This window comes from Homo sapiens, chromosome 22, assembly GCF_000001405.40.
Source record: "Homo sapiens chromosome 22, GRCh38.p14 Primary Assembly".
In the NCBI taxonomy this organism is placed as follows: domain Eukaryota; kingdom Metazoa; phylum Chordata; class Mammalia; order Primates; family Hominidae; genus Homo; species Homo sapiens.
The window spans coordinates 38,882,632-38,909,967 of NC_000022.11; the positions used below are offsets into that span (position 1 = coordinate 38,882,632).

Below are 27,336 nucleotides of genomic sequence, written 5' to 3' on the forward strand. Positions count from 1 at the left end.
CAGGGCCCTGCAGGCCATGGAGGAGAGCCTGGGCCTTGATCCAAGTACAGGGAGGAGGCCCCCAGTGACAACTCACTGCAGAGGCGAAGGGGCCTGGCACAGCAAGCTGGATGCAGAGGCTGAGCCCTGGGTGAGGTTCCGAGGGCCAAGAGGCAGATGCATTTCCAATCTGCTGCAGCGCAGCCTCCCCGATGTATATTCAGAGAGGCAACAGGCTGTACATTAAAATGGAAAGAGCTGGAAACTCCCTGGAAACTCCAAGCCTGGGCACCATCTCACAGATGGGTGCCCAAGACGGAGGGAGCCATTCCCCTCTGGTCTGCTAGTTAATTAGGGCTTCTCTACAAAGACACTTGGAAATACAATGATTTAAAGAAGAGCGTTTGTTCCTTTCTTCCACAACAGTCTGGCTTGTCAGGCCAGGGGCGCCCCAGCAAGGTCTGCGGGACTGACAAGGGGTGGTCAAGGCCACGGTGGGAAAACTGACACCTGAGCAATTGCAGATAAAATCCAGGGGCACTTCTGGCTCCCACAGGCCCCTCGTCCGGACACCTCTTTCCAGTGAATGCGAAGCAGATGAGAAGAGATGCAAAGCTCTGGCGTGATGTCTTTCATCTCTCAGCTCTGTGCAAACTTGTTCTCTTCCTGCTCTTCCTGTTTTGCTGGGCAGCATGTTTTTTGTTTTGTTTTTTTTCTTCCAACTACATTTTAGTGGTTTAGGGGGAATGCTAGTTTCTCCAGAATCTTTTTCACTTTAAGGAAAGTTAGGGCACCCTGACAAGGGGGTGCTGGGAGGCTGGTCCTCTCTTGGGTTCCATTCTGCCAGTTTTCTTTTCTTTTCTCTTTTCTTTTTTCTTTTCTTTTCTTTTCTTTTCTTTTCTTTTCTTTTCTTTTCTTTTCTTTTCTTTCCTTTCCTTTCCTTTTCTTTCCCTCCCTCCCTCCCTCCCTCCCTTCCTTCCTTTCTTCCTTTGTTCTTTCGTTCTTTCTTCTTTTCTTTTTGCGTTTTGCTCCTGTCGCCCAGGCTGGAGTGCAATGGCTCTCACTGCAACTCCACCTCCTGGGTTCAAGCAATTCTCCTCCCTCAGCCTCCTGAGTAGCTGGGATTACAGATGCCTGCCACCATGCCTGGCTAATTTTTGTATTTTTAGTAGAGATGTGGTTTTGCCATGTTGGCCAGACCGGTCTCGAACTCCTGACCTCAGGTGATCGACCCACCTCGGCCACCCAAAGTGCTGGGATTACAGGCATGAGCCACCGCACCCAGCCCCATTCTGCCAGTTCTGCTGAGCTGTGTGGACTCCTGCCCTGGAGCAGAGGGCTGGCATATGGCTGGAGAAGGCTGGCCATTGACCCGTGCTGCTGACCGCCTGCCCTCCCCAGCATTTGGGCCCCGGTGCGGTGCCCTATCCCTGCTCACAGCGGGGACCAGAGTCACCTGGGGCCTTCCGCCCTGGCGGGAGGAGGAGGACCCCCCACTATGTGTCCCCTCACCTTTGCCTTTTCCTCCTCATCCCCTTCCCTGGGGTCTTGAGGGGGCCCCTTAAGGGGATTGACAATATCAAAAGCTTGCTGATAGGAGATCGGCTGTGAGGTTCCTGTTCCTGTCGTAACACAGCAGTTCTGGGATTGTTTTAGGAGAGAAACTTTGAGAGGTTAAATGAGAAAGGAGCCTTCTGGTGGGTTCATTGAGTTCTGCCTCCAAAGCACACACCCAGCAGAGAAGCCCCGAGAAAGTGCTGGGCCCAGCTAAGCACCCCAGATCTTGTGCCCAGGGACACACCTGGACCTCCCAGACAATCCTGGGAGGGATTTTCCAGGGGTGTGGAGTTCGTGGTGAGGCAGAGCCAGCCAACAGAAGAACGCATCAGTCTGATTATGTAGTTAGTTTAGAACCCAACCCAATTTCGGGAGTCCCTAGCTCTGGGAGATTGCTCCCACCTTTGTCACCACCAAAATGCATCATCTTTCTTCCGTTTCTCTAGTGTTGTGTGTATGACTCCGATTTGTGATGTATCCCCCGCCACCTGGAGAGGCAAGGAGGTCTGTCATCCACCTGGGAGGTCCGGCTGTCCAGGGCGGGCGTCACCTGTTGGGGGTGCCAATAAAGATGCCGCCTAAGGGAACCACATCCTGATAATCATGTTCTGAGCCATGGGGGAACCCTGCTGCACTCCAGCCTCAGACTCTGGGACAGGTTGGAGCCCCAGTGACTCTCACATGGAGATAGGACATCCCTCTGGGGGACATTGTGAGCCACAACCTCAACCCCATTTGGGCTGGGGATTCTCTGTTCCCAGGGTCCTGTGTGAACCGCAGCTGCTGAATGGTGTGCAGAATTGGAAGAGTTATGATCAAAAGCCAGTTCCTGTGTGAATTTAAGGGTGCTGGGTGGTTAGTCCAGGGGCCTACTGAGAACTTGTCCTATTCTTTTTTATTTTTATTTTTGACAGAGTGTCGCTCTGTTGCCAGGCTGGAGTGCAGTGGAGTGATCTTGGCTTACTGCAATCTCTGCCTCCCAGGTTCAAGCGATTCCCCTGCCTCAGCCTCCCGAGTAGCTGGGACTACAGGTGCACACCAACACGCCTGGCTAATTTTTTGTATTTTAGTAGAGACAGCATTTCACCATGTTAGCCAGGATGGTCTCAATTTCCCAACCTCGTGATCTGCCTGCCTGGGCCTCCCAAAGTGCTGGGATTACAGGCGTGAGCCACCGTGCCCGGCCCGAACTTGTCCTATTCTTGACCCCACATGAACAGAAATAAGAGGTAACAGGACTGTCTCAAATAACCTCAACCTCATATGCACATTAATGTGAATTTTTGGATGCCCTGAAAGGCAGATTTTATGTGCAGAAAAGATTATCCAGGGGTTTTCTTAAGTTTTAAAAATTAATATTCAATTTATTAAAGTTATAAATAAAAGGAAAAACCTAGTTTGTCCTTACACTTTTAATTTCAGCTTAAATAACTTATTATTTTAATTATAGATCTAGCAAATTTAGCAATCACTTCTAAGAAGGCTCTGATTAATTTTGGTCTCATTTACGAACTTAAACTCCTTTAAACTTTTCATATTGCATTATTCATCACATATAATATATTTGCTTAACTTCCTAAGTATAATTGGCTGACAAACCTTCTTAAGTGCTGAAGCAATTCTTATAAATTGAATGCATTTAGCATATAAATATGAGCTTGAAGTCTGACTGGCTGTTCCAGTACTACGTGTAAAAGAGCAAATCCCAAGTCCAGATCATTTACTCAGTTACACATTTAAAATTGTAATCTTGAGGCAATCTATTATTTTAATAGACTGAGTTCTCTTAAATATTATAAGAATATAAAATAGAAAAAACACCTTAATATAAAAGATGGCCAGGCGCGGTGGCTCACGCCTGTAATTCCAGCACTTGAGACGCCAAGGTGGGTGGATCACCTGAGGTCAGGAGTTCGAGACCAGCCTGGCCAACATGGTGAAACCCCATCTCTACTAAAAATACAAAAATTAGCCAGGTGTGGTGGCGCATACCTGTAATCCCAGCTACCTGGGAGGCCGAGGCAGGAGAATCACTTGAACCTGGGAGGCGGAGGTTGCAGTGAGCCAAGATTGCACCACTGCACTCCAGTCTCAGCAACAGAGCGAGACTCCATCTCAAATAAGTAAATACATAAATAATTAGGATTTTGTTCTTTTTACATTTCTGTACGTAATTCAAGTCTTCCTGGGGGTAAAAACTACTTACTCACTAAGGGAATAATTCAGTCATTTCAAACCATTTTTGAGGGTCTCTACTCAGCAGTTTGATGTTGTGTAATGATTCAGGATTCTTCTCTGTGACCCTGATGGGCCATTCCGATTCCTATTTATAGATGCTTATCTCAAGACCTTCTGTGTGGGTAGTCTCAGAGCCCTTGGGACTGCCTTCGTCCACAACCTTGGGTTTGAGTCATATCACTACCGAATTCTTCCCTCTGTTCATGGAAATCTGGTAACTACATCAACGAGGTATTTTCTACAGAACTGATTGGGTTTTTTGTTTCTTTGCCTCATAAGATATAAAAATGTCTAAAGGCCCTGGAATGTCACAGTATTAATAGCTGATGTGTATGGAAGGCCTACTATGTACTGGGCATAATTCTATGTGTTCTTCATTTGTTAATTCACTCAATCCTTTTTTTTTCTTTTTTTTTTTTTTTGAGATGGAGTCTCACTCTGTCGCCAGGCTGGAGTGCAGTGGCGCGATTATATTCACCTAGAAGTTTGTGAACACTGTTCCTCTTTCAGTAAAATCCATGTTATAGATGCTGCTGGATTTTAGGCATCCAGAAAGGCCTGAGATTGGCAGCTATTTGTTGACAATTCAATGGGTATAAAAGGTAAGCACTTAAGATAACCAACTATTAGAAGACTGAGAATGACGGTGGTGGGGAGTATTTGGGGGACAGGGGAGCAATACATTCTGGTGATGTCATTTTGGTTCATTACTCAGCAAATTTTTTTTTTTTGACAGAGTTTTGCTCTGTCGCCTATGCCAACTCAGCTTGCTGCAAACTCCGCCTCCAGGGTTCAAGCGATTCTCCTGCCTCAGCCTCCTGAGTAGCTGGGATTACAGGTGCCTGCCACCATGCCTGGCTAATTTTTGTATTTTTAGTAGAGATGGGGTTTCACCATGTTGGCCAGGCTGGTCTCGAACTCCTGACCTCAGGTGATCTGCCAGTCTCAGCCTCCAAAAGTGCTGGGATTACAGGCATGAGCCACCATGCCTGGCCTGAATTAATATTGTTAAAATGTCCATACTACCCAAAGCAATCTATAGATTCAATGCAATCTCTATCAAAATTTCAATTGCTCCTCTTTAAGTGGAGGCCTCAGGCAAAAATAAATAAATACATAAATACATACATACATACATACAGGAAAAAAGAAAAAAATCCAATAGAATTCTTCACAGAAATATAAAAGAAAAATCCTAAAATTTGCATGGAATCAAAAAAGGCCTTGAATACCCAAGCAATCTTGAGAAAGAATAACAAAGCTGGAGGCATCACACTCCTGCTTTCAAACTACATCACAAAACAACAGTAATCAAAGCAGCATGGTACTGGTATAAAAAGACACATAGACAAATGAAACAGAATAGAGAGCCCTGAAATCAACCCATGCTTATACTGTTAACTAATCTTTTACAAAGGTGCCAAGAATACACAATGGGGGAAGAGTAGTCTCTTCAATAAATGTGTTGGGAAAACTGGATATCCACATGGAAAACAATGAAATTGGACCCGTATCATACACCACACACAAAAATTAACTCAAAATTGATTAAAGACTTAAATGTAAGAACTGAAACTGTAAAACTCTTAGAAGAAAACAAAGGGAAAAAGCTCCTTGACATTGGTGTTGGTAATGATTTTTTGTGTAGGACACCAAAAGCATAGGCAACAAAAGTAAAATAAACAAGTAGGATTACATCAAGCTAAAAAGCTTCTGCACAGCAAACAATCAGTAAAATGAAAAGATAACTTATGAAATAGGAGAAAATATTTGCAAATCATATATCTGATAAGGGGCTAACATCCAAAATATATAAGGAACTCATACAAGTCAATAGCCAAAAAATAAATAACCTGATTTTAAAATGAGCAAAGAAATAATAATAGACATTTTTTCCAAAGAACACAGCAAGTATATGAAAATGTGCTCAGCATCACTAATCATCAGGCAATTGCAAATCAACACTACATGAGCTAGCAACTCACACCTGTTAGAATGGTTCTTTTGAAAAAGACGGAGATATCAAGTGTTGGCTAAGATGTGGAGGAAGACAAGGGAACCCTGGACACTGTTGGTGGGAGTATAAATTGGTACAGCCATTATAGGTAACAGTATGAAGTTTCCTCAAACAATTAAGAATAGTGCTACCATTTCATCCAAGAATCCCACTTCTGGATGTATAGCCAGATAAAATGAAGTCAGTATCTTAAAGAGAAATCTGCTCCATCATGTTCATTGCAGCATTATTCACAATAGCCAAGATATGGGAGCAACATAAATGTCCACTGACAGATGAATGGCTAAAGAAAATGGGAAATATATACACATTGGAATATTATTCAGCCATAAAAAAGGAAATCTTGCCATTTGTGACAACATGGATGAACCCACAGAACACAATGCTAAGAGAAATAAGCCAGACACACAAAGAAATACTGTATGTCTCACTTATATGTGGAATCTAAAGCACACACACACATACAGGTAACTATGTGAGGTGATGGATATGTTAATTTGCTTGGTTATGATAATCATTTCACCATGTATACACGTATCAGTGTGTCATATATCAAATCATCGTGTTGTATACCTTTAATATGTTCATTTTTTTGTCAATTATACTACCAGTTTTCTCAATAAAACTGGGAAAAAACGAAACAACATATAGTAACAATGGCAAAAAAGAAGCCAGTAAAATATATCCTATCATTCAATCCAAATAATCAATGGTGGAGCTGACTGTAAATTTTAAGAAAGAGGAAAGTAGAAACATTTATTGAGTGCTTGCTTTTTTTTTTTTTGAGATGAAGTTTTGCTCTGTCGCCCAGGCTGGAGTGCAGTGGCGCGATCTTGGCTCACTGCAAGCTCTGCCTCCCGGGTTCACGCCATTCTCCTGCCTCAGCCTCCGGAGTAGCTGGGACTACAGGCACCTGCCACCACACCCGGCTAATTTTTTGTATTTTTAGTGGAGATGCGGTTTCACCGTGTTAGCCAGGATGATCTCGATCTCATGACCTCGTGATCCACCCACCTCGGCCTCCCAAAGTGCTGGGATTACAGGCGTGAGCCACTGCACCCGGCCTGAGTGCTTGCTTTAAGTCAGGCATTGTTCTAAGTTCTTTCTGTACCTGTATCATCTCATTTAATCCTCAGAGTAGCCATGTGAGGTTTTGTAGTACTATCAGCTCAAATTAGTCTTTTAAACGTTTATTTATTTATTTTTGAGACAGGGTCTTACTCTGTCACACAAGCTGGTGGAATCTTAGCTCACTGTAACCTCGAACTCCTGTATCATCCCAAATTTAAACGAGTCAAACGGCAGTTAAAGGACCTATCCAGGATCACAGAACTAATGAATAACACAATCCAGATCCAGACCTGAGCCCAGGCTGTCTGGTTCCAGCACCTGGTTCTCAACCTTTGCAGTGTAGTGCAATTTTTACCAAAGAGTTCCTGAAATGAACGCAACATAATTAAAAAAAAAAAAAAAGGCCAGGTATGGTGGCTCACACCTATAATCCTAGCACTTTGGGAGGCCAAGGTGGGTGGTCAGGATTTCGAGCCTGACCAACATGGTGAAACTCCTTCTCTACTAAAAAAATACAAAATTAGCCGGGCATGGTGGCATCCACCTGTAATCCGAGCTACTTGGGAAGCGGAGGCAGGAGACTTGCTTGAACCTAGGAGGCGGAGGTTGCAGTGAGCAGAGATCGCGCCACTGTACTCCAGCTTGGGCAACAAGAGGAAACTCCATCTCAAAAATAAAAAATAAAAAAATTTTAAAAATCACAGATGGAAGCTCGAGCTGATTTTAATGAAACCTCTGTGAAGCAGTGAGGGAAAAAGTTGTGCTAAAATTATATCATTTTTAGAGCAGAGAATTTTATACATATTGACAAATTCTTTTTAAACTTTTCAAAAATGCTAACAGCTAATTTTATTTATCCCAAAATGGGAATCACTTTGTTTCTCTTGATTATAAAAATGATACATAGTCATGGTAAAAAAAATTAAACACTCCATAAAGTCCAAAGAAGGTAAATGTCATTCTAATTCCCACTACCCATTGATAACCTGCGGTGCAGTGTGGTGAATGACCTAGACATCTTTTTTTTTTTTTCAAATATGTACACAAATGACTCTGTGTATATCAGATCGGCATGTGGGTGTGTGTATAGGTGTATCCACCTATCTCCATGTCAAGAAATATAGATCTTGCCAGGCAGTGGCTCATGCCTGTAACCCCAGCACTTTGAGAGGCCGAGGAGGGGGTGGATCACCTGAGGTCAGGAGTTCAAGACCAGCCTGGTCAACATGATGAAACCCCATCTCTATTAAAAATACAAAAATTAGCTGGGCATGGGCGCGCCTGTAGTCCCAGCTACTCAGGAGGCTGAGACAGGAGAATCGCTTGAACCTGGGAGGTGGAGGTTGCAGTGAGCCTTGATTGCACCACTGCACTCCAGCCTGGGTGACAGAGCAAGACTCCATCTCAAAAAAGAAAAAAAAAAAGAAATATAGATCTCCATTATCCCTTTAACAGTGCAGAGTAATCCACTGTATGGATGTGACATTATTCATGTATATAATCAGAAGTTAATGGATCTAAATGTACTGTTTTCAGTTTTTTGAAATTACAGACAGGCTGCGATGAATATCCTTAAACACATGTCTTCATGCACTTGCCCAGTTATCTTCTTGGGATACCGTTGGTGGGATTTAGAGAAAAATCACTCACATTAGGGAGGGTATATACTGCTGACTTTGACCCATCAAATCCAGCCATGGATTCTCTGCAAACTGAGGGGCCACCCAGCTCCCTGAACAGTGGTCTTATTCTGCTGGGTCCTTGTGAGGGCGTAGCATAGCCTCACATCCTAAATTAAAGTCAGTTCACCGGCTGCTGCTCGGGTAACTGGCGAGAGAAAAGAGCCTTTGCCTCTCCGCAGCCGGGGAATTTCCAAATCCTGAAATTGTCCTGTCCAGACACAGTAAATAGTTTGGCCACAACAATCTCTGCATCCACCTCCCTCCCATCTGTCTGGGCTGGGCATGCCCGTAATGTTTTTCATTCTGTGACAGGCTTGAGCATCCTTTTCTTAAAGGAGACAAAGGAGATAAAAGGGCCTGGGCTCAGAATTTTGCAAGCAGAACACACGGAGGTTGTGCCAAGACAGAGATGGTGGCTCGATGGCCAGCTAATTCTTGTTTATCCAACAAGCCATGCTAGTTGCTGGGGAGACCCAGAGAAATGAGACACAGTCCCTGTTCATGGGGGTTAGCTGTGTAGTAGAGTTGATAGACCCATGGGGCCATGGAGCGGGTGTTGGGGATGGGGCAGAGGCTACTCCATTATCACAGACTTCAGAGTGTCTTTCCAGCAAGACTAGCCACACAGTCTGCCTTTAAAGTCCCCTGGTAAGTCACTCAAAATGATATTTTCAAGTGCCTAGCATTTACATCTTCTGGGTGTTGGGGATTGACATCTGTTATCACAGGCAATGGCGCTTTTATTATCATTGGAACAGGTGGATGGGGATGTCAGCCCTCCTCTGGCAGGACCAAAGCACTGGCCATCTGCAAAGGGAGGACATTTGGGTGTCCTCGGACTTGGGCAAAGGTGCACCCTAGGCTTTAGAGAGCCCAAACCAATTTTCCTCCAAATGTCCTCTATACCTGGTTTTTCTAGGTTAGGGTTCAGGACCCAATCTGCTTACATCCACAAATCTCTTTTAATTTAGAACAGCCTCTATTTTCATACCGTGAATTGAAGGAATTAAGCTACTGTCCGATAGAATATTCTGCCTTCTAGATTTCACTGATTGGTTTCTTACTGTGAGTTTGGATAGTTCTGTCTTGTCTAACATACCTCACTGAGTAATTCAGAAGGAGAAAGCAGAAAAAAACAAAAGTCAGTGAGCATAGAAAAGATGAGAGATGAGAATTATGGAATTACAAATTTTACTTAATGGGAATTTCCAGAACATTTCACCAAGTAACTGCAGACATTACATTACTTTCAAGCACGTCTGGAATATTTATGAAAATTGACCATTTATCTTGCCAAAAAGCAATCTTTTGTTAATGCCAAAAGGATGGATTGAACAAACAATATTTTCTGACCACCATGTACTTCAATAAGAAATAAATAACAAAAAAGCATAGAAATAGGAAAAACCTTTAAATAATTCATGGGTAAAAAAAGAAAGCATAACAGGTTTTAGAATATGCTTAGAAGCGAACAATAATGAAAATTCCACGTATCAGAACATATGAGAGGCTTATGATATAGGAGAAAAAGGCTGAAAATCAATAAGCCAAACATTTAACATGAGAAGTTACCAAGAGAACAGCTGAGTAAATCCTAAACAGTAGAAAAAAGAAAATTTACAGGTAAGAGCAGAAATAAATGAAACAGAGAGCAATCATAAAATTGACATGACGAACAAAGCCAAATTTTGTTTTTTTGAAAAAACTAATAAAACTGGCAAACCTTTGGCAAGACTAATTAGGAAATAGAGATGGGACCCATAAAGTATAGCAGAATTGAAAGGAAATTGGCTGGGCGCCGTGGCTCACGCCCGTAATCCCGACACTTTGGGAGGCCGAGGCAGGCAGATCACCTGAGGTCGAGAGTTCAAGACCAGCCTGACCAACATGGAGAAACCCTGTCTCTCCTAAAAATACAAAATTAGCCGGGCGTGGTGGTGCATGCCTGTAATCCCAGGTACTTGGGAGGCTGAGGCAGGAGAATCGCTTGAACCTGGGAGACGGAGGTTGCAGTGAGCCGAGATTGCACCATTGTACTCCAGCCAGGGCAACAAGAGCAAAACTCCGTCTCAAAAAAATTAAATAAAAATAAAGAAAGGAAACATGACTTCGATGAAGAATCAATTTTAAAAATGTAAAAATATGATGCAACTTTATGCCAATAATTTTGAAAATGTAAATCAAGTTGCACAAATTTTACATTTAAGACATTTTAAATGTAAACGATGTTTTAACCATTTAAAAAATTGAATTGGTGACTAAAAATCTTCATATCAAAGAAACAGCAGGACTAGACTTTTTTTTTTAAACAGAAGGGTTTTACCAAACATTTAAGGAATGAATACTTTCAAATACAAACTATTCCAGCAAGTAGAAAAATTACCAATACTTGCTAATAATTTTTACAAAGTTGGCTTAATCTGCTTGTTATCCCAACCAAAGACTGTTTGAGGAAGGAAAATATAGAACAATCTTTTCCATAAACAAAACATCAGTAAACTGAATCCAAGATAATACATCATGACCAAATTGGATTAGAGTACACTAGAATAGATTAGAAAAGTAAGTACGTAATTTTTCACATTAACAGATAGAAGGAGAAAAACCATAGGATCATTTCAATAAATGCAGAACAGGTGTTTGCTGAAATTCAACCTCTATTTATGATTAAAAAACTAAACAAATTAAGAATATAAAGAAACGCTTTTAAACTAATACAGGATGTCTTTTTGTTATTTATTTGTTTATTTTATGAGATGGAGTCTCGCTCTGTCACCCAGGCTGGAGTGCAGTGGTGCAATCTTGGCTCACTGCAACCTCTGCCTCCTGAGTTCAAGCGATTCTCCTGCCTCAACCTCCTGAGTAGCTGGGAATTACAGGCGTGCGCCCCTACGCCCAGCTAACTTTTGTATTTTTAATAGAGACAGCGTTTCACCATGTTGCCTAGGCTGGTCTTGAACTCCTGACCTCTGGTGATCCGCCTGCTTGTCCTCCCAGAGTGCTGCGATTACAGGCATGAGCTACCACGCTCAGCCATAAAAGATGTATTTTTTTAAAAATTCCCCACAGTGAAGACTTTAGTAAATATTAAAATGTTAAGATCAGTAACAAGCCAAGGAAACTTACTCTCACCATTCTATTAAACATTAAAGTATAGTAGGGCCAGGAAAAATGAATGAAGGATACAACATTGGGACAGAAGACACAAAACTGCCATAACTTCCAGATAATATGATTACTCTCTCTCATTGTGGAACTGCCTGGAACAGTGCCTGGTGTGCAGTAGGCACTCGAAAAATATTTGTTGATCATTATGTTGTGACTTACTTTATCTCAAGTTATTTTATTTATTTATTTTTTGCCTTGAAGCCTTCTGTTTCTTCCCCCCTCTGAATACTGAAAGATGTATATGTGCTTTTTTTTCTTCTTTTTTTGGAGACGAAGTTTCTCTCTTGTCGCCCAGGCTGGAGTGCAAGATCACTGCAACTTCTGCCTCCCGGGTTCAAGCAATTCTCCTGCCTCAGCCACCCGAGTAGCTGGGACTACAGGCATGCACCACCACGCCCAGGTATTTTTTGTATTTTTAGTTGAGACGGGGTTTCACTACGTTGGCCGGGTTGGTCTCAAACTCCTGACCTCAGGCAATCTGCCCAACTTGGCCTCCCAAAGTGCTGGGATTACAGGCATGAGCCACTGTGCCCGGCTGATCCTGGACTTTTGTTGTTGGGAAGCATTTTAGTACAGGTGCAATCTCTTTACTTGTAAGATTTATGTGCAGATTTTTTATTTCTTTTCAAACCAGTTTTGGTAATTTGTGTGTTTCTAGGAATTTGTACATTTCATCTCGGTTACCTAATTTGTTGGTGTACTATTCTCCCATAATCCTTTTTATTTCCGTAAGGTTGGTAGTAGTGTCCCCGCTTTCATTTGCGGTTTTAGTTTTTGGCATTTTTTCTTTTTTCCTTAGTCTAGCTAAAGCTTTGTTAATTTTGTTGATTTTTTTTTTCAAATATCAACTTTTGATTTTGTTGATTTTCTCTGTTGTTTTTCTACTCTCTGTCTCATTTTTCTCCATGTTAATCTTTTATTTTTATTATTTCCTTCTTTCTGCTAGCTTTCTGTTTAATTTGCTCTTCTTTTTCTAATTCCTTAAGGTATAAAATTAGGTTATTGATTTGAAATCTTTCTTTTTTGATGTAGGCATTTAGTGTTAGAAATTTCCCTTTGAGCATCACATTTGCAGCATGCCATTAAATCCTTGCCTTTTAACAGGAAAGTTTAATTAATTCAAATTTATTATGATTACCTATATATGAATTTATGACTACATCTTATTGTCTCATTTATTTTTTTTCCTGTTGTTTATAACTTGCTCTTTTTTGGACTGTTTTGAATAGATGAAGATTTTTCTCTTATTTCTGTTTTTCCACTTTGTTGGTTTGGAAGTTTTATATTCTGTTTTTATTCTCTCAATGACTACCCTGCAATTTATCATATACATTGCAGCCTTGAACTCCTGGGCTCAAGTGATCCTCCTGCCTTGGCCTCCCAAAGTGTTGGGACTAAAGGCATGAGCCACTGCATCTGGACTATCATATACATTCTAATGTTAACCAATCTCTTTTCTCTATTTTATCTTACCTGTAACAGAAATTTTACGTTTATTTTGCTTCCTTTGCAAACTTTATATTATGGAAAATTTCACATCTATACACAAGTAAAAAACAATATAGTGATATGGGTGCAGTGGCTCACACCTGTAATCTCAGCACTTTGGAAGGCCAAGGTGGGTGGATCACAAGGTCCAGAGATGGAGACCATCCTGGCAAACATGGTGAAACCCTGTCTCTACTAAAAATTTAAAAAATTAGCTGGGTGTGGTGGCGCGTGCCTGTAATCCCAGCTACTCGGGAGGCTGAGGCAGTAGAATTGCTTGAACCCAGGGGGCGGAGGTTGCAGTGAGCCAAGATCATACCACTGCACTCCAGCCTGGTGACAGAGTGAGACTTTGTCTCAAAAAAACATATGTGTGTATATATATAATATATGATATATATTATATATATAATTATATGTAATATTATATATAATACATATATATAATACATATATAATATATATAGTGAACACCCATGTACCAATTATGTCTCCAACAATTATCAATATTTTGCCAATTTTGTTTCATCTATTTCCTTATTTTTCTTTTTTTGTTTTCTATATTATTTTAAAGTAGATCTCAGATATCATGTCATTTCACCTGTAAATACTTCATTATGCATCTTTAACTCAGACATTTTGTTTTTATATAACCACTGTCTAATAATTACATTGTTTCTATCATTCAATATTCAGTTCATATACAAATTTTTCTGTTTCAAAAGCATCTTTTCAGGTTTTTTTTTCAGATCAGGATTCAAACAAAGGCCACATATTGCATTTTATTGCTGTTCCTTGTCTCTTTTATTCTATAGGGAACCTTGTTTTATTTCCATGCCACCAATTTATTAAAAATCTGGTCATTTTGGAGAGGCATGTCCTACATTCTGGATTTAGCTGATTGCTTCCTTGTGGTGCCTTCTTCTTCTATCCCCTGTATTTCCTATTAACCAGTATGTATGTCTAGCTAGCTAAATTAGGTTCAGATTTATTTACTTAGGAAGGAACATTCACAAGTGATGCTCTTACTTCCTGTTTCATCACATCATAAAGCATGTAAGGTCTGGTTGTCTCCATTTTTTAAATGATAATTTTCATAAATGGTTTCAGGTGCTATCAGCCTAATCTCTTCCTTATGAAGTTCCCTATTCATCTTTCACTTAACGGATTGGTTGTTCATTGGTGATCATTGGCTACATCCATGGTTTCATTAGGGATTGTAAAATAGTGATTTCCTAACATTTTTCTGCATTTAGTAGCTGAAATTCTTCTATAAAGAAATTTCCCTCATGCACTATTTGGTTACTGTTAAATCGACCCATCTTAGTAAAAAGAAAAAACCCAAACAACAAAGAACCCTTCAAGTTGGCTTCTGTGTCCTTTGACGTGATCCCAGCAGTCTGTGATAGCTTCCTTTTTGTCTAACACAACGTATTCTAGGCAATTTTTACAATTCCTGCCCCAGACCTGGAACCAGCTGTTATGTTAAGAAACGCTAGTTCCTTTAGGGGAAAATGATACTTAGAGACCACAATCTGGGGACTGAGGAGTGATCATTACTAGTGTGTTTTCATGCCTTCCAGGATTTTCAGTGCACATATTAGGAAATGAGTGCATTCTAAAAGAAAAGAGTTATGAGTTCATACTGATATTTCCAATTCAAATTTATGATTACAAGAGTTTAACTCAAAATATTTGGTTTAATACTTGTATATTTTTTTCTTTCACTGAAAATCTTGGTTTTTGTTTTGTTTTGTTTTTAGAGATGGGGTCTATGTTGCCCAGGCTAGGGTGCAATGGCTGTTTACAGGCACAATTGTAGCACACTACAGCCTCAAACTCCTGGGCTCAAGCGATCCTCCTGCCTCAGCCTCCCAGTCTATAGGTGTGCACCAATGCACTCAACTGAAACTTTTGTTTTTTTAATGAGCAAACGTATGTATTATTTGGCTTATCCTATAATATACCTATAGGTATTCCAAAATTAAAAATTTCAAAATTGCTACTAACAATAAGACCCTGAATATAGTTCAACATTTCTATGTAGTTCTTATTGTCTTTAGAATATTTTCCACTAGGAATGTACACTTAAAATACTGTGTTTTAAAGTAACATGAAATAATTTTTTAATGTGTCTATGCTACTAACTTGATGTATTTTAGTTTAGCTTGTTTAAATTTGTTTTCAATTTTTAGGGATTTTTTTCTATTTTGATTTCATTTTATTTTGTATTTATGTAAAATTTGTTTTATTTTAAAGTGAAAACTGTAAAACAAGGTGTCTTCACAGAAGTCTCCTTTCCATCCTACTTTACCCTGTTTACTGCCTTCCTCTTCACATTGTATAGATTTTTGGTTTGGTTTGTCCTCACCTTGCATTGCTCCCTTTCTGGAGACACATATTTTTCTTTTTAATCACATATAACACTTCTTTATCAACTTGATATATCAGATTTTGTATGATAACATCAGGGTTTTAGGCTATAAATCCAAATTATTCTCCCAAGTAGTATTATTAAATCCAAAACCATCTTGAATCTTTACCTAACCCCCTCCACATACACTTAGAAGTTTTTTTTTTTTGTTTTTTTGTTTTTTTGTTTTGAGACAGAATTTCCCTCTCTTGCCCAGGCTGGAGCACAGTGGCACCATCTTGGCTCACTGCAACCTCCACTTCCCAGGTTCAAGTGACTCTCGTGCCTCAGGCTCCTGAGTAGCTGGGATTACAAGTGTGCACCACCACACCTGGCTAATTTTTTTTGTATTTTTAGTAGAGATGGGGTTTCACCACGTTGGCCAGATTAGTCTCGAACTCCTGGCCCACTTAGAGGAATTTTATTTTAAAATTATTTATTTGTTTTTTGAGATGTAGTTTCACTCTTGTTGCCCAGGCTGGAGTGCAATGGCGCGATCTCTGCTCACCGCAACCTCCGCCTCCAGGGTTCAAGCAATTCTTCTGCCTCAGCCTCCCAAGTAGCTGGGATTACAGGCATGCGCCACCATGCCCAGATAATTTTTGTATTTTAGTAGAGATAGGGTTTCATCATGTTGCAGGCTAGGTTTTAGGGAGAGGTTATTATTATTATTATTATTTTCTTTTTTGAGATGGAGTCTCACTCTGTCGCCCAGGCTGGAGTGCGGTGGTGTGATCTCAGCTCACTGCAACCTCTGCCTTCCAGGTTCAAGCGATTCTCTTGCCTCAGCTTCTCAAGTAGCTGGGATTACAGGTGCCCACCACCAAGCCCGGCTATTTTTTGTATTTTTAGTAGAGATGATGTTTCACCATGTTGGCTAGGTTGGTCTCGAACTCCTGACCTCAAGTGATTCTCCCACCTCAGCCTCCTAAAGTGCTGGGATTACAGGCATGAACCACCCCATCGGGCCCACTTAGAGGAATTTTAAAAAGACTGCTTAAAATTTTGGAGTGCCATATGGTTAATATGTGAAAATATTTAGGTTTGCCCTAAAATCTTCTAATTTATGGGTGAAAATGCATGCTTCACTCCATATGTGTTTGTGTTTATATTTTAATTGCAGGTAATCCTAATGTAAAACTTCTAATTTATTAAGGAGCTTTTGATAAAACCAAATGCCTACTGATTCATGTTTAAAATTCAAATTTCTCAAAGCAATTATGAAATATGCCCATATTATACTTATTTAAAAAACTAAAAATAATAAATAATTATTGAAAGAAGCTATTGTACCTTTGGTTCTTTACCCCAAAAGTTCAAGTGGAATTTTTTTTATAGATTTACATAATTTTCTTTTCTTTTATTTATTTATTTATTTATTTATTTATTTATTTATTTTTTTGAGATAGAGTCTCGCTCTGTTGCCCAGGCTGGAGTGCAGTGGCTTGACCTTGGCTCACTGCAATCTCTGCGTCCCAGGTTTAAGCATCCTCCCAGCTCAGACTCCCGAGTAGCTAGGACTACAGATGTGTGCACCACCACACATGACTAATTTTTTTTTATTTTTATTTTTTGTGGAGACGGAGTTTTGCCATGTTGTCTAGGCTGGTCTTGAACTACCGGAGTCAAGCAGGAGTCTTGCCTCAGCCTCCCAAAGTGCTAGAATTACAGGTGTGAGCCACTGTACCTGGCCTAGATTTACATAATTTCCGCTACAACCGATTTCTAAAAGACAGTAGGCTTTATAATTGTATCACATTTCCATTGTAGTATACTTCAATTGTGGTTCTATGATCATATATTTGCAGAAGGTTTTGCCTATTTAGTTTTAGTGCAAAAATTCAGGTTTTTGCATGGAAGCAGGCTGTGCTATACCTCCAATTCCCAATTTTGTATTTTGTAGTAATTGCACTTAACCTTACGGAAACTAACAAAATTACTAAGCTTTAAAATTCAGATTAAATTTAAAATGTTGGCTTTCATTATACATTCCCTATAACTGTAATTTAGAACACATACCATCTCTCAAATTTGAAAAAAATTTAGAAAAACAACAAAATTTATACATGCTTTACAGAGTCATACCTGAGATCTTGAGATTATCTTTTAAATTTAATACACCAAGCTCTTTCCTTGAGGAAAAGTTTTCTATCCATAAAATAATCTGAAATCAGAGTTGCTTCTAAGCAAACACACTTAAATTTCAGCTATCTATTTAGTGTCATCTAGTAGAGTAGGATTCTTTATTGGAAATATGAACAATTTACCTCTATTTTTGGCTGCAATATTCTGAGTTTAACCCGAGGAAAAAAAATGTTCATTTTGATTAATTTTTGATTTTTCAGATATTCCACTTTTAGTAGACAAGTGAAATGCTGTCGTTTCAGACCTTTTATTTTTTAAATGTGATATTCTCTTTATTAAATGTATAAACTCAAAATCCTAGTTATTTTTGAGATTTCAAGTTCATTTTACACTTTGTATTATTCTAAGAAGAGCACATGCTTGGTTCCATTTACAACCACTTTAATCTTTAAGTTGCATTTATAAATTTAGCATCTTTAATTTCCTTCACTACTATTTTAATGGCCTGACCACAATAGTGGCATGTGACCTGAGACCACAAACTTCTCTCTTCCTTTCCTGTATCTCTGAGGTAAACCGATCATCCCAGCTGCAGTATCAGCCAAGGAGTAGTGTAACCGAGTATCCCAGCCTCGAAATGCATTTTAAAACTTTTTTTTCCTTTCTTGCTTTCAGCCTTGAAACATACTTTGAAATTCTTTCTCTTTTTCCCACCAGGTGCTCCCGTGCACAGTGCTGACTTATCCGATTATGTGCTTGCTTAGAAATTTCAGGGGGCAGTTTTGCAACAAGCCAGGCAGAGAGACCCAGCTGTTGAATCCTCCCGCTCAAGGGAAGTTAGGAAGTTAGTCCACCACCACTGGGCTGAAGACAGGATGACACAAACCAGACCTCCAGATGGGTGATTACTTGAGATAGCTATAGAACAAGACATGCAGACCTGCATTCTCCTGCACCATGCCCGCATATTTTCTACACCTTTTTCCTTCTTAAATCCCTTCACTCAGCCCAGAAGGCAGAGACGTTTCCCTTTGAAGCTTGAGCCCAGCCATGGTCCCATCTGCTAGCATTTGACCAATAGAAGCTGCTTTCCTTTCACCACATACCAAGCTTCTCATGCTTTGACTGCTGAGCGGTGAGCAGCTGAACTTGAGCTGGTTACAGACTTGGTGCCTGAGTGAGGAGGTGTGTGTTCTGAGCAGCTCAGCCTGTAGGCCTGGTTTCCAGCGAGTGGAGCAGTTGGCCAGGCAGTGGACCAAGGCTTACCCACTGATGGTACCAGGCAGGGCAGGGCCATTTGCAAATGCTAGCTATGCTAGCTACTTGTGGCCAGTGGACCCTGCGACTGGGGCCTTGGGAATTCCCAACAGATGCAGAGACTGCCTTTGTTTGGGGTATTTTCCTTTGCCTCCTTTTCATGGCATCAGGTGCTATCATGCTCTGATGGTGTAAGGAAAGCAGCATTCAGTAAGTTGATGGCCTTCAGGACTGGGTAAGTCAACCAGAGTGCACCTGGAGTTGTCTGTCTCTGCCATCTGGGCTGTCCAGCCACCTGGACCTAGCATAGGTCATCTTGGTGCCATCTGAGCCTCCATGCTATCTGCACCTAACACAGGTCACTCTGTGGTGCCCTCTGGGTTTGACACAAGATCTCAGGACTTTTCTCCAGTCTCTCCTCTTTGGGGATTGGTATGGAGTGCTCTGTCTGCATGGGATCTGTCTGTGTTTGTGTCTCTGTTTAGTGTTACCCCTTTCTCCAAGGGTGCTTTGGACTAGTCTCCATCCCACCCGCCAAGACTAGGTCAGAAAGCATCAAGATAGGCTGCTTCTCTCCTCTGCAGGGGAGAAAGTTTCCAATATCCTAGCCTCTAATTTTGTCATCCTCTCTGAGACCTCCAGAGTATTTCCTGAATCCATGTCAAGGTTTGTGGGGGGAGAAAGCAAGTCAACTCTCTTTTCTAGACAATCTGAGACTCCACCTGGTTACATATTATGGCCAACTTTTGTGCACATTTTAAGCTGATGGGCAAATTACAGTAAGGGAAATTCAGAGGTCAAATGGTTAACCTGCAACTCTACAGTTAAGCAGAGTCTTCTAAGGCTCTCTACCTCTCTTTTCTTTTCTGCCTTCTTTGAATCTGCTGTTATTCAGCTACTGGTGTTGAGATAAAACTTACTGTTTCCACATTACTTGGAGATTTTGTTTTTCTTATACATTTCAGCCAGTTCTAGCTAAAATGGAAACACTAGAAACTCACTTGAAACTGCAGAAAAAAGAAGAGTAAAAAGGTTTTCAAAACCAAACTGCCATAGAAACTACTTTACCCAAATTTTGGTTCACAGATTTCCTTAAATTGGGGCAAACAGCTTTCCTTAGCCATGTGAACAGGTTCCAATTTCATCAGAAAAATAATTTGGATCCAGCTATCTTTTATAAAGTGGTGAGTCTGTACTGCTATCTTATGGCTGGAGTTCCAAAGTAAAAGCTATTGGATCTTTGTGCATGTAGGTATACATGTTTAGATATGCTTGTGTGTACATACATGTATTATGTTGTATATTGTGTCTAGCATGCTACCAAATTGGATTATAAGTAAATGAGTACTCATAAATTAAATAAGTCCAGATGCTTTTCAAATTCACATGAATCTTTGGTAAATAAAACTAAAATTATTGATAGAAATGTCTTCAAAATTGTCAGAATACATTTTTGTCTGAGTTTTTTAACCAAATGGTTTTATATTTGTCTCTGTCTACATGTTAAGGTGTCAGAGTTTCACATAAAGGTTATAGGACTATAAACCCAAACAAAACCAAAATTATCTTTGTGTAATTTTTTTTTGACAAAAAGACTAGATTGTTGGTTTAATTAAAACAGCTGAATCTTCTGAGTTATTGGCAAAATGTGTTTACGTTTAAGGTTCTTGGGTGTTCACCTGCTATTCAGACTTTTAAAATGGTTAATAAATAAATAACTTATTTATTTATTTATTTATTTATTTATTTATTTTTTGAGACAGGGTCTTGCTGTGTTGTCCAGGCTGGAGTACAATGGTGCAAACTTGCCTCACTGCAACCTCCTCTTCCCAGGCTTAAGTGATCCTCCCACCTCAGTCTCCCAAGAAGCTGAACTATGGCTGTGTACCACCACGTGGTACCAGCTAATTTTTGTATTTTTTTGTAGAGATGAAGTTTCTCCATGTTGCTGAGGCTGAAATAAATTTAAATAATGACTAGATTTGTGTAACATCTCAGTTTTCAGAAGTAATCTAGATAAACTGTTAAAAATGGAAAAAATTGAGTACATGTAAATGAGATAAATGCTTGTAAGTGGACTTCTTGTATAATTTAAAATCTTGACATTATTTTGAATTAAATAATAGATGCTTTTTTGGATGTCTGGGTCATTTCCAATTAAGAAAAAAATAATGTGTGAAAACATGTTATAATGTTATAATATGGGAAAACGTAATATTATGGAATGGTTTATAATATTATGGAGTAGTTGTTTCATCTACAAAATGCTAATATCTAACAAACAGTTCAGGATTTCTTGCTTCATAGGTTTTTACTAAAATTTAAGGTTACCAAGAATAAAAATTCTAATTAATATATAATCGTGTAAGTTGTGTTATTGAAAACTAACACAATACTTTTATGTAATTTGGGGGTTATTTAAAAGTAACTTCTAAAAGAAGGTAGAAAGGACCAGTAAGTAGGAGAGAGATGTTAAGAAAGTTGTGGTTATGAAGATGTGTTTTTGGTAAGAAAGGTTATAAAGAAAAGAAAATGATTTTGTATAAAAATATAGCCTCATATGGTAAATTTTTGTCCTAAAGAAAAATGATTATTTAGGAAAGAGAGAAGTATAGGACAAGTCAGAAATTCCAAGCATGTCATAGACGGTCTGTATAAGTTGCAAAATGTTCATGAAGGGGAATTTATAAAAGGAATTTTGTGGGTTGTTTTTTTTTTTGAGATGGAGTCTGCTCTGTCTCCCAGGCTAGTGTGCAGTGGAGTGATCTTGGCTCACTGCAACCTCTGCCTTCCAGGTTCAAATGATTCTCCTGCCTTAGCCTCCTAAGTAGTTGGGATTAAGGGTGTGCACCACCACACCCAGCTAATTTTTGTATTTTCAGTAGAGTCGGGGTTTCGCCATGTTGGCCAGGCTGGTCTCAAACTGTTGACCTCAGGTGATCTGCCTGCCTCGACCTCTCAAAGTGCTGGGATTACAGGCATGAGCCACCACGCCAGGCCTATAAAAGGAATTTTGTCTTGTGGTTAAGTTAGCTATGATTAAAAGGGAATTATTTATGATAGTATTTCTAAAGAACAGTCCCCTATGTTAAAATGGGGCTTTCTTAAGCTATTGATTTGCTCTTATTAAAATTACAAGAAGATTTGCTTTTTAATTCTATAAACTGTTTCTTTTGAAAACTTCTTAGATTAATATCTTAAAAGTTCAGCTTTTGTTGTATCTCACTGCATTCAGCTTTTTCTCCCTTTGAAAAGGCCTGAGATGATAACTCTCCTTCAACTTTGTCCATCAACTTCTATAATTTTTTCCCCTCTGGATCTAACTGTTGTGGCCAGATGCTGAAATGTTTTATCTTAGAAGTCTGTAAAAGCAGTGGTTTCCTCCAGTATAACTTGATTCTGTTGTCTTGGCTTTTCTTGATATGTCTAAATTTTCAGTTAATCAGGAAACTTCTCATGCAGTTACTAAGAGTCATGTATTCCCCTGTTATACTCATGATCTTGAACATACTCTTTCTGTGTCTAATTAAATTAAAGCACTTTTTTTCATCAAGTTTGACTTCCAGGTTATCTAAGTGGGCTTCCCATAAGGAGAAGCAGTCACACCGCAGAAAGTTTTTCTTTGCCTTTTTGGCAACTGGCTCAAGAAACAAGATTCTACATTTTATGGAGGTAATTCCTATGCTGTCTTTTTTTTTTTTTTTTTTTTTTTTTTGAGATGGAGTCTCGCTCTGTCACCCAGGCTGGAGTGCAGTGGCACGATCTCAGCTCACTGCAAGTTCCGCCTCCCGGGTTCATGCCATTCTCCTACCTCAGCCTCTCAAGTAGCTGGGACTACAGGTGTCCGCCATCATACCCGGCTAATTTTTTGTATTTTTAGTAGAGACGGGTTTCACTGTGTTAGCCAGGATGGTCTTGATCTCCTGACCTCGTGATCCGCCTGCCTTGGCCTCCCAAAGTGCTGGGATTACAGGCGTGAGCCACCATGCCCTGCCCCTATGCTGTCTTTATTAGGTTTTGTTTGTTTGTTTGTCTTTGAGACAGAGTTTTGCTCTTGCCATCCAGGCTGGAGTGCAATGGCACGATCTGGGCTCACTGAAACTTCCACCTCCCAGATTCAAGCAATTCTGCCTCAGCCTCCTGAGTAGCTGAGATTACAGGCGTGCACCACCACACCCAGCTAATTTTGTATTTTTAGTAGAGATGGGGTTTCACCATGTTGGCCAGGCTGGTCTCAAACTCCTGACCTCAGCTGATCCGCCTGCCTCGGCCTCCAAAAATCCTGGGATTACAGGCATGAGCCATCACAGCTAGCTATAGGTTTTTGATTGCTTAAAAAAACTGAGATTTAAAAGGGTTAAGGCTTTTACGCCCATTTATCCTTCTGTATTGCCTTTAAAGTCTTTTAGTTATCTCCTTGTTTCAATGAGTAACTACTATTTTACAATGACCATTATTCTGTTTTGATAAAATGTTTTGAGCTTTTTAACATATTTGACAAACATCCTCAAATCAAATCCTAAATTAAGAGCCTGACTTACTGCTGAGGTTTATCAAAGCTATAAAAGTTAATCACTGGAAGTCTGTAAAATCTTTTTACAGCTTCCAGTCAGGTCATGAACTCAAGTATCACCACCTTCAGCCTCAAAAAAGCCCTAAAAGGTGCTATTAACTAATCTTTGTGCTGTTAAGTTATGGGGCTTTGACTCCTGGGTACACATATCTCATCTAAAGAAGGCATTGGCTCCTGCCAGTCTCTGACACCAAACTCGAGTTAGCCAAAGCCTCGTCTTTAGACCTGGGCAAAGGAGACAATCAAAGCAAACTGCTTTCATGAGACATCGGGATAGGTTTGTATTGAAAAACATTAAGATTCATTTAATAATTTTGCCTCTATCTGAAATAATATAATTTGTTCTATGCCTTGATACTAAATAATTTAAATGTTTAATGACCTATGAACTTCCTTTCCTGTTCTCCTCAGAACTAGGCAGGGCTTATGATCTTTTTGTGTAAAACATTGCTAATTCTTTATGTTTTGTTTTGCCTTCAAAATTTGAAACTATTCAATCCCTGCAGGCCCAGGGACTATTGCATGAGATTTTAAGGGCTGATTTTGAGAGAGAAAATTATTTCAGACTCTCCAAATCGAGAACTAGCACACAGATGCCTAAACGGCTGAACAAAATGCTTGTGTTTTGTATAGCCAATTTCTACAAGTCAAAAATACAGTAGTTCAATGCATTGAATTTATAGAGAAGTCAATTTTAGAACCTTGCCTTTTGGCTTTTGGTTTTTGGCTCTTACATTGCTTAAAGGGGGTTTCCCCTCTGGCCTAGACTGTTTAATTAGCTATAAGTCTTTTGATTTTAAGTCCCTTTGCCAAAGGGGTTCCACTGAGGGACATGATGAACTTGGGGCAGATAGCATCAATATTGGACAAAATAAAAGCTTGGCCATTGATGCTACATCTAGCATACCTTGACAAAAGAGGCGGAATATAAACAGAAAAAAAATCCTAAGCCTCCCAAGAGACAGAATGGACCCGTTTTCCCTCCCCCACCTTCCCCCATCTTGGCCAAGAGGGATCCGAAAGGAACCTGAAAAACTGTTCAGTCCATGACAGAAAGCAGGGGGTTAGACACACCTTGCTACACCTTCCCCCTCCTTTGGAATTCAGGCACAACTGACCATCATTACCATTAAAATAGAGATCATAAAACTGACAGAACTTTGAAATTCTTTGTTTCCCTCCATTTCCCCATCAGGCGCTCCCATGCACAGCGCTTGCTTATCTAATTATGTGCTTGCTTAGAAATTCCAGGGGCTAGTTTTTAAACAAGCCAGGCAGAGAGACCCAGCTGCAGAATCCTCCTGCTCAGGGGGTGTTAGGAACAGTTAGCCCACCACCACTGGGTCGAAGTCAGGATGATGCCAAGTGGACCTCTGTAGAGCGATTACTCAAGATAACCATCAGAACCAGACACGCACACCTACACCCCCCTTTTCATGAGTCCCGCATATTCCCCACACCTTTTTCCTTCTTAAACCCCTTCACTCAGCCCAGAAGGCAAAGATGGTCTCTTTGAGGCTTTAGCCTGGCCATTCTCCCATCTGCTGGCATTTCACCACTAGAAGCTGCTTTCCTCTTGCCACACCTTGCTTCTTATGCTTTGACTTGTGAGCAGCGAGTAGCCGGACTTGAGCCAGTTACAGTAGTGCCTTCTCTAACCTGTTCCTCAGCAGAACATTTCAAGTAAACCATTTTTGCTCCTTACTAGTTTCTGTAATCTCAGTGGGTGTCTCCCTCAACAGACCTTGTCATAGCCCCATGTAATGGATCAGCTGGTAGACTGAAAAACAAAAAAAAGAAATTACCTTCCTTCTAGTTGCTGATCACCAGGGCTAGGCTAACTTCTTCCCCTTTTCTAACTCTTCCCATAATGCTAAGCATCCTAACCTCAATCATGGCACTATTCTCTGCTTAGCATCCTTCACCCCATTCTGTCCTCCCTCCCTCACTCTCTCCTTCCCTCTCTCCCTCCCCACCACCTTCCATCATGGTCTGACTGTGAGTTGGGGGGGTCTTCTGTTGATGATACTTTTTCCTACTTAAGAAATTGGGATACAAGGTAGAATTCACATACCATAAAACTCACTCTTTTAAATGGTAAAATTAAATGATTTTAAGTATATTCACAGGGTGCAACCATCATCATAAATAACTTTAGGACATTTTTTGTTTTGAGATAGAGTCTCCCTCTGTTGCCCAGGTTGGAGTGCAGTGACGTGATCTCAACTCACTGCAACCTCTGCCTCCCAGGCTCAAGCAATCCTCCTACCTCAGCCTCCCAAGTAGCTGAGACGGTGTGTGCCCCCATGCCTGGCTAATTTTTGTATTTTTTGTAGAGATGGGGTTTCACCATGTTGCCCGGGCTGGTCTCGAACTCCTGACCTCAAGTGATCTGCCTGCCTTGGCCTCCCAAAGTGCTAAGATTACAGGTGTGAGCCACCATGCTCAGCCCCTTTAGAACATTTTTAACACACACACACACACACACACACACACACACACACACACACACACACACATATAAAACAAAACAAAAAAACCCAACTCTGTACCCATGAGCAGTCATTCCCCATTTTCCCTAGTCCCCCCAGCCCTCAGTAACTACTAATCTACTTTATGTCTCTATGGATTTGCCTACTCTGGACATTTATTAAATGGAATCATTTAATATGTGGCTTTTTTTTTTTCTTGAGACGAAGTCTTACTCTGTTGCCTAGAGTGCAGCAGCGCAATGCTGGCTCACTGCAACCTCTTCCTCCAGGTTCAAGTGATTCTCCTGCCTCAGCCTCCCAAGTAGGTGGGATTACAGGTGCCCATCACTACACCCAGCTAATATTTTGTATTTTTAGCAGAGATGGGGTTTCACCATGTTGGCCAGGCTGGTCTCGAACTCCTGACCTCAGGTGATCCACCTGCCTTGGCCTCCCAAAGTGCTGGGATTACAGGTGTGAGCCATGGCGCCCAGCCTAATATGTGGCTTTTTATGTCTGGCTTCTTTTACTGATCATAATGTTTTCCAGGATCATCACCTTGTATCAGTACTTATTATTTATTTATTTATTTATTTATTTTTGTAGAAACAAGATCTTACTATATTGCTGAGGCTGGTCTTGAACTCCTGGGCTCAAACAATCCTCCTACCTCAGCCTCCCAAAGTGTTGGAATTACAGGTGTGAGCCACCATGCCCGGCCTCCATTCCTTTTTATGGCTGAATAATATTCTCTTGTATGAATGTATGACATTTAGTTTATCCGTTCCTCAGTTGATGGATTTATTTTTTCTACTTTTTGGCTATTGTGAATAATGCTGCTATGAACATTCATGCACAGATTTTTGTATGGACATGTTTTGCTTTCTCTTGGGTATATACCTAGGAGTGGAGTTGCTGGGTCATATGGTAATTCTACTTCTTGAGGAACTGCCAAAATATTTTCCAAGAGGCTGCACAATTTTACATTCCCACTAGCAATGTATGAGGGTTCCAGTGTCTCCACATCCTCATTAATACTTTTTATCATCTGTCTTTGATCATTTTGGCCATTCCCATGGGTGTAAGTGGTATCTTATTATGATATTGATTTGCATTTCCCTAATGACTAATGCTGAGCATCCTTTCATGTGCTTATTGACCATCTGTATATCTTATTTGGAGAAATGTCTTATTGTGTCCTTTGCCCATTTTTAAATTAGGTTGTCTTTTTGTTGTTGAGTTGTAAGAGTTCTTTACATATTCTGGATACTAGACCCTTCTCAGGTACATGATTTGCAAATATTTTCTCTCATTCTCTGGGCTGTCTTTTCACTTTC

The 27,336-nt window shown here is 40.3% G+C and overlaps 1 long non-coding RNA gene across 1 annotated transcript in view, besides 7 other annotated features; it reads left to right on the forward strand.

Moving 5' to 3' along the window:
- The first annotated feature begins 3,655 nt into the window (after positions 1 to 3,655).
- The window catches only part of LOC105373032 (uncharacterized), a 40,173-nt gene continuing 16,492 nt past the window's right edge, over positions 3,656 to 27,336 (forward strand). The window contains exon 1 of the long non-coding RNA XR_938256.2: positions 3,656 to 4,376. This is a non-coding gene — a long non-coding RNA (uncharacterized LOC105373032). The remainder of the gene's footprint in view (positions 4,377 to 27,336) is intronic.
- Positions 8,634 to 8,803: an enhancer, noted in NCBI's record as "experimental_63270 CRE fragment used in MPRA reporter constructs". NCBI's record gives its function as "activates a minimal promoter by MPRAs in K562 erythroleukemia cells, with activity observed for both the introgressed and non-introgressed 22:39287355 variant alleles {active_cell/tissue: K562}" and the evidence as "EXISTENCE:reporter gene assay evidence [ECO:0000049][PMID:34662402]".
- Positions 11,774 to 11,943: an enhancer, noted in NCBI's record as "experimental_63315 CRE fragment used in MPRA reporter constructs". NCBI's record gives its function as "activates a minimal promoter by MPRAs in K562 erythroleukemia cells, with activity observed for both the introgressed and non-introgressed 22:39290495 variant alleles {active_cell/tissue: K562}" and the evidence as "EXISTENCE:reporter gene assay evidence [ECO:0000049][PMID:34662402]".
- Positions 20,751 to 20,920: an enhancer, noted in NCBI's record as "experimental_63367 CRE fragment used in MPRA reporter constructs". NCBI's record gives its function as "activates a minimal promoter by MPRAs in K562 erythroleukemia cells, with activity observed for both the introgressed and non-introgressed 22:39299472 or rs2205966 variant alleles {active_cell/tissue: K562}" and the evidence as "EXISTENCE:reporter gene assay evidence [ECO:0000049][PMID:34662402]".
- Position 20,836: a transcriptional cis regulatory region, noted in NCBI's record as "Neanderthal adaptively introgressed variant 22:39299472 (GRCh37/hg19 assembly coordinates) or rs2205966 in the experimental_63367 CRE". NCBI's record gives its function as "modulates activity of the experimental_63367 enhancer by MPRAs in K562 erythroleukemia cells {active_cell/tissue: K562}" and the evidence as "EXISTENCE:reporter gene assay evidence [ECO:0000049][PMID:34662402]".
- Positions 23,175 to 23,344: an enhancer, noted in NCBI's record as "experimental_63385 CRE fragment used in MPRA reporter constructs". NCBI's record gives its function as "activates a minimal promoter by MPRAs in K562 erythroleukemia cells, with activity observed for both the introgressed and non-introgressed 22:39301896 variant alleles {active_cell/tissue: K562}" and the evidence as "EXISTENCE:reporter gene assay evidence [ECO:0000049][PMID:34662402]".
- Positions 23,175 to 23,411: a biological region, named in NCBI's record as "Neanderthal introgressed variant-containing enhancers experimental_63385 and experimental_63387".
- Positions 23,242 to 23,411: an enhancer, noted in NCBI's record as "experimental_63387 CRE fragment used in MPRA reporter constructs". NCBI's record gives its function as "activates a minimal promoter by MPRAs in K562 erythroleukemia cells, with activity observed for both the introgressed and non-introgressed 22:39301963 variant alleles {active_cell/tissue: K562}" and the evidence as "EXISTENCE:reporter gene assay evidence [ECO:0000049][PMID:34662402]".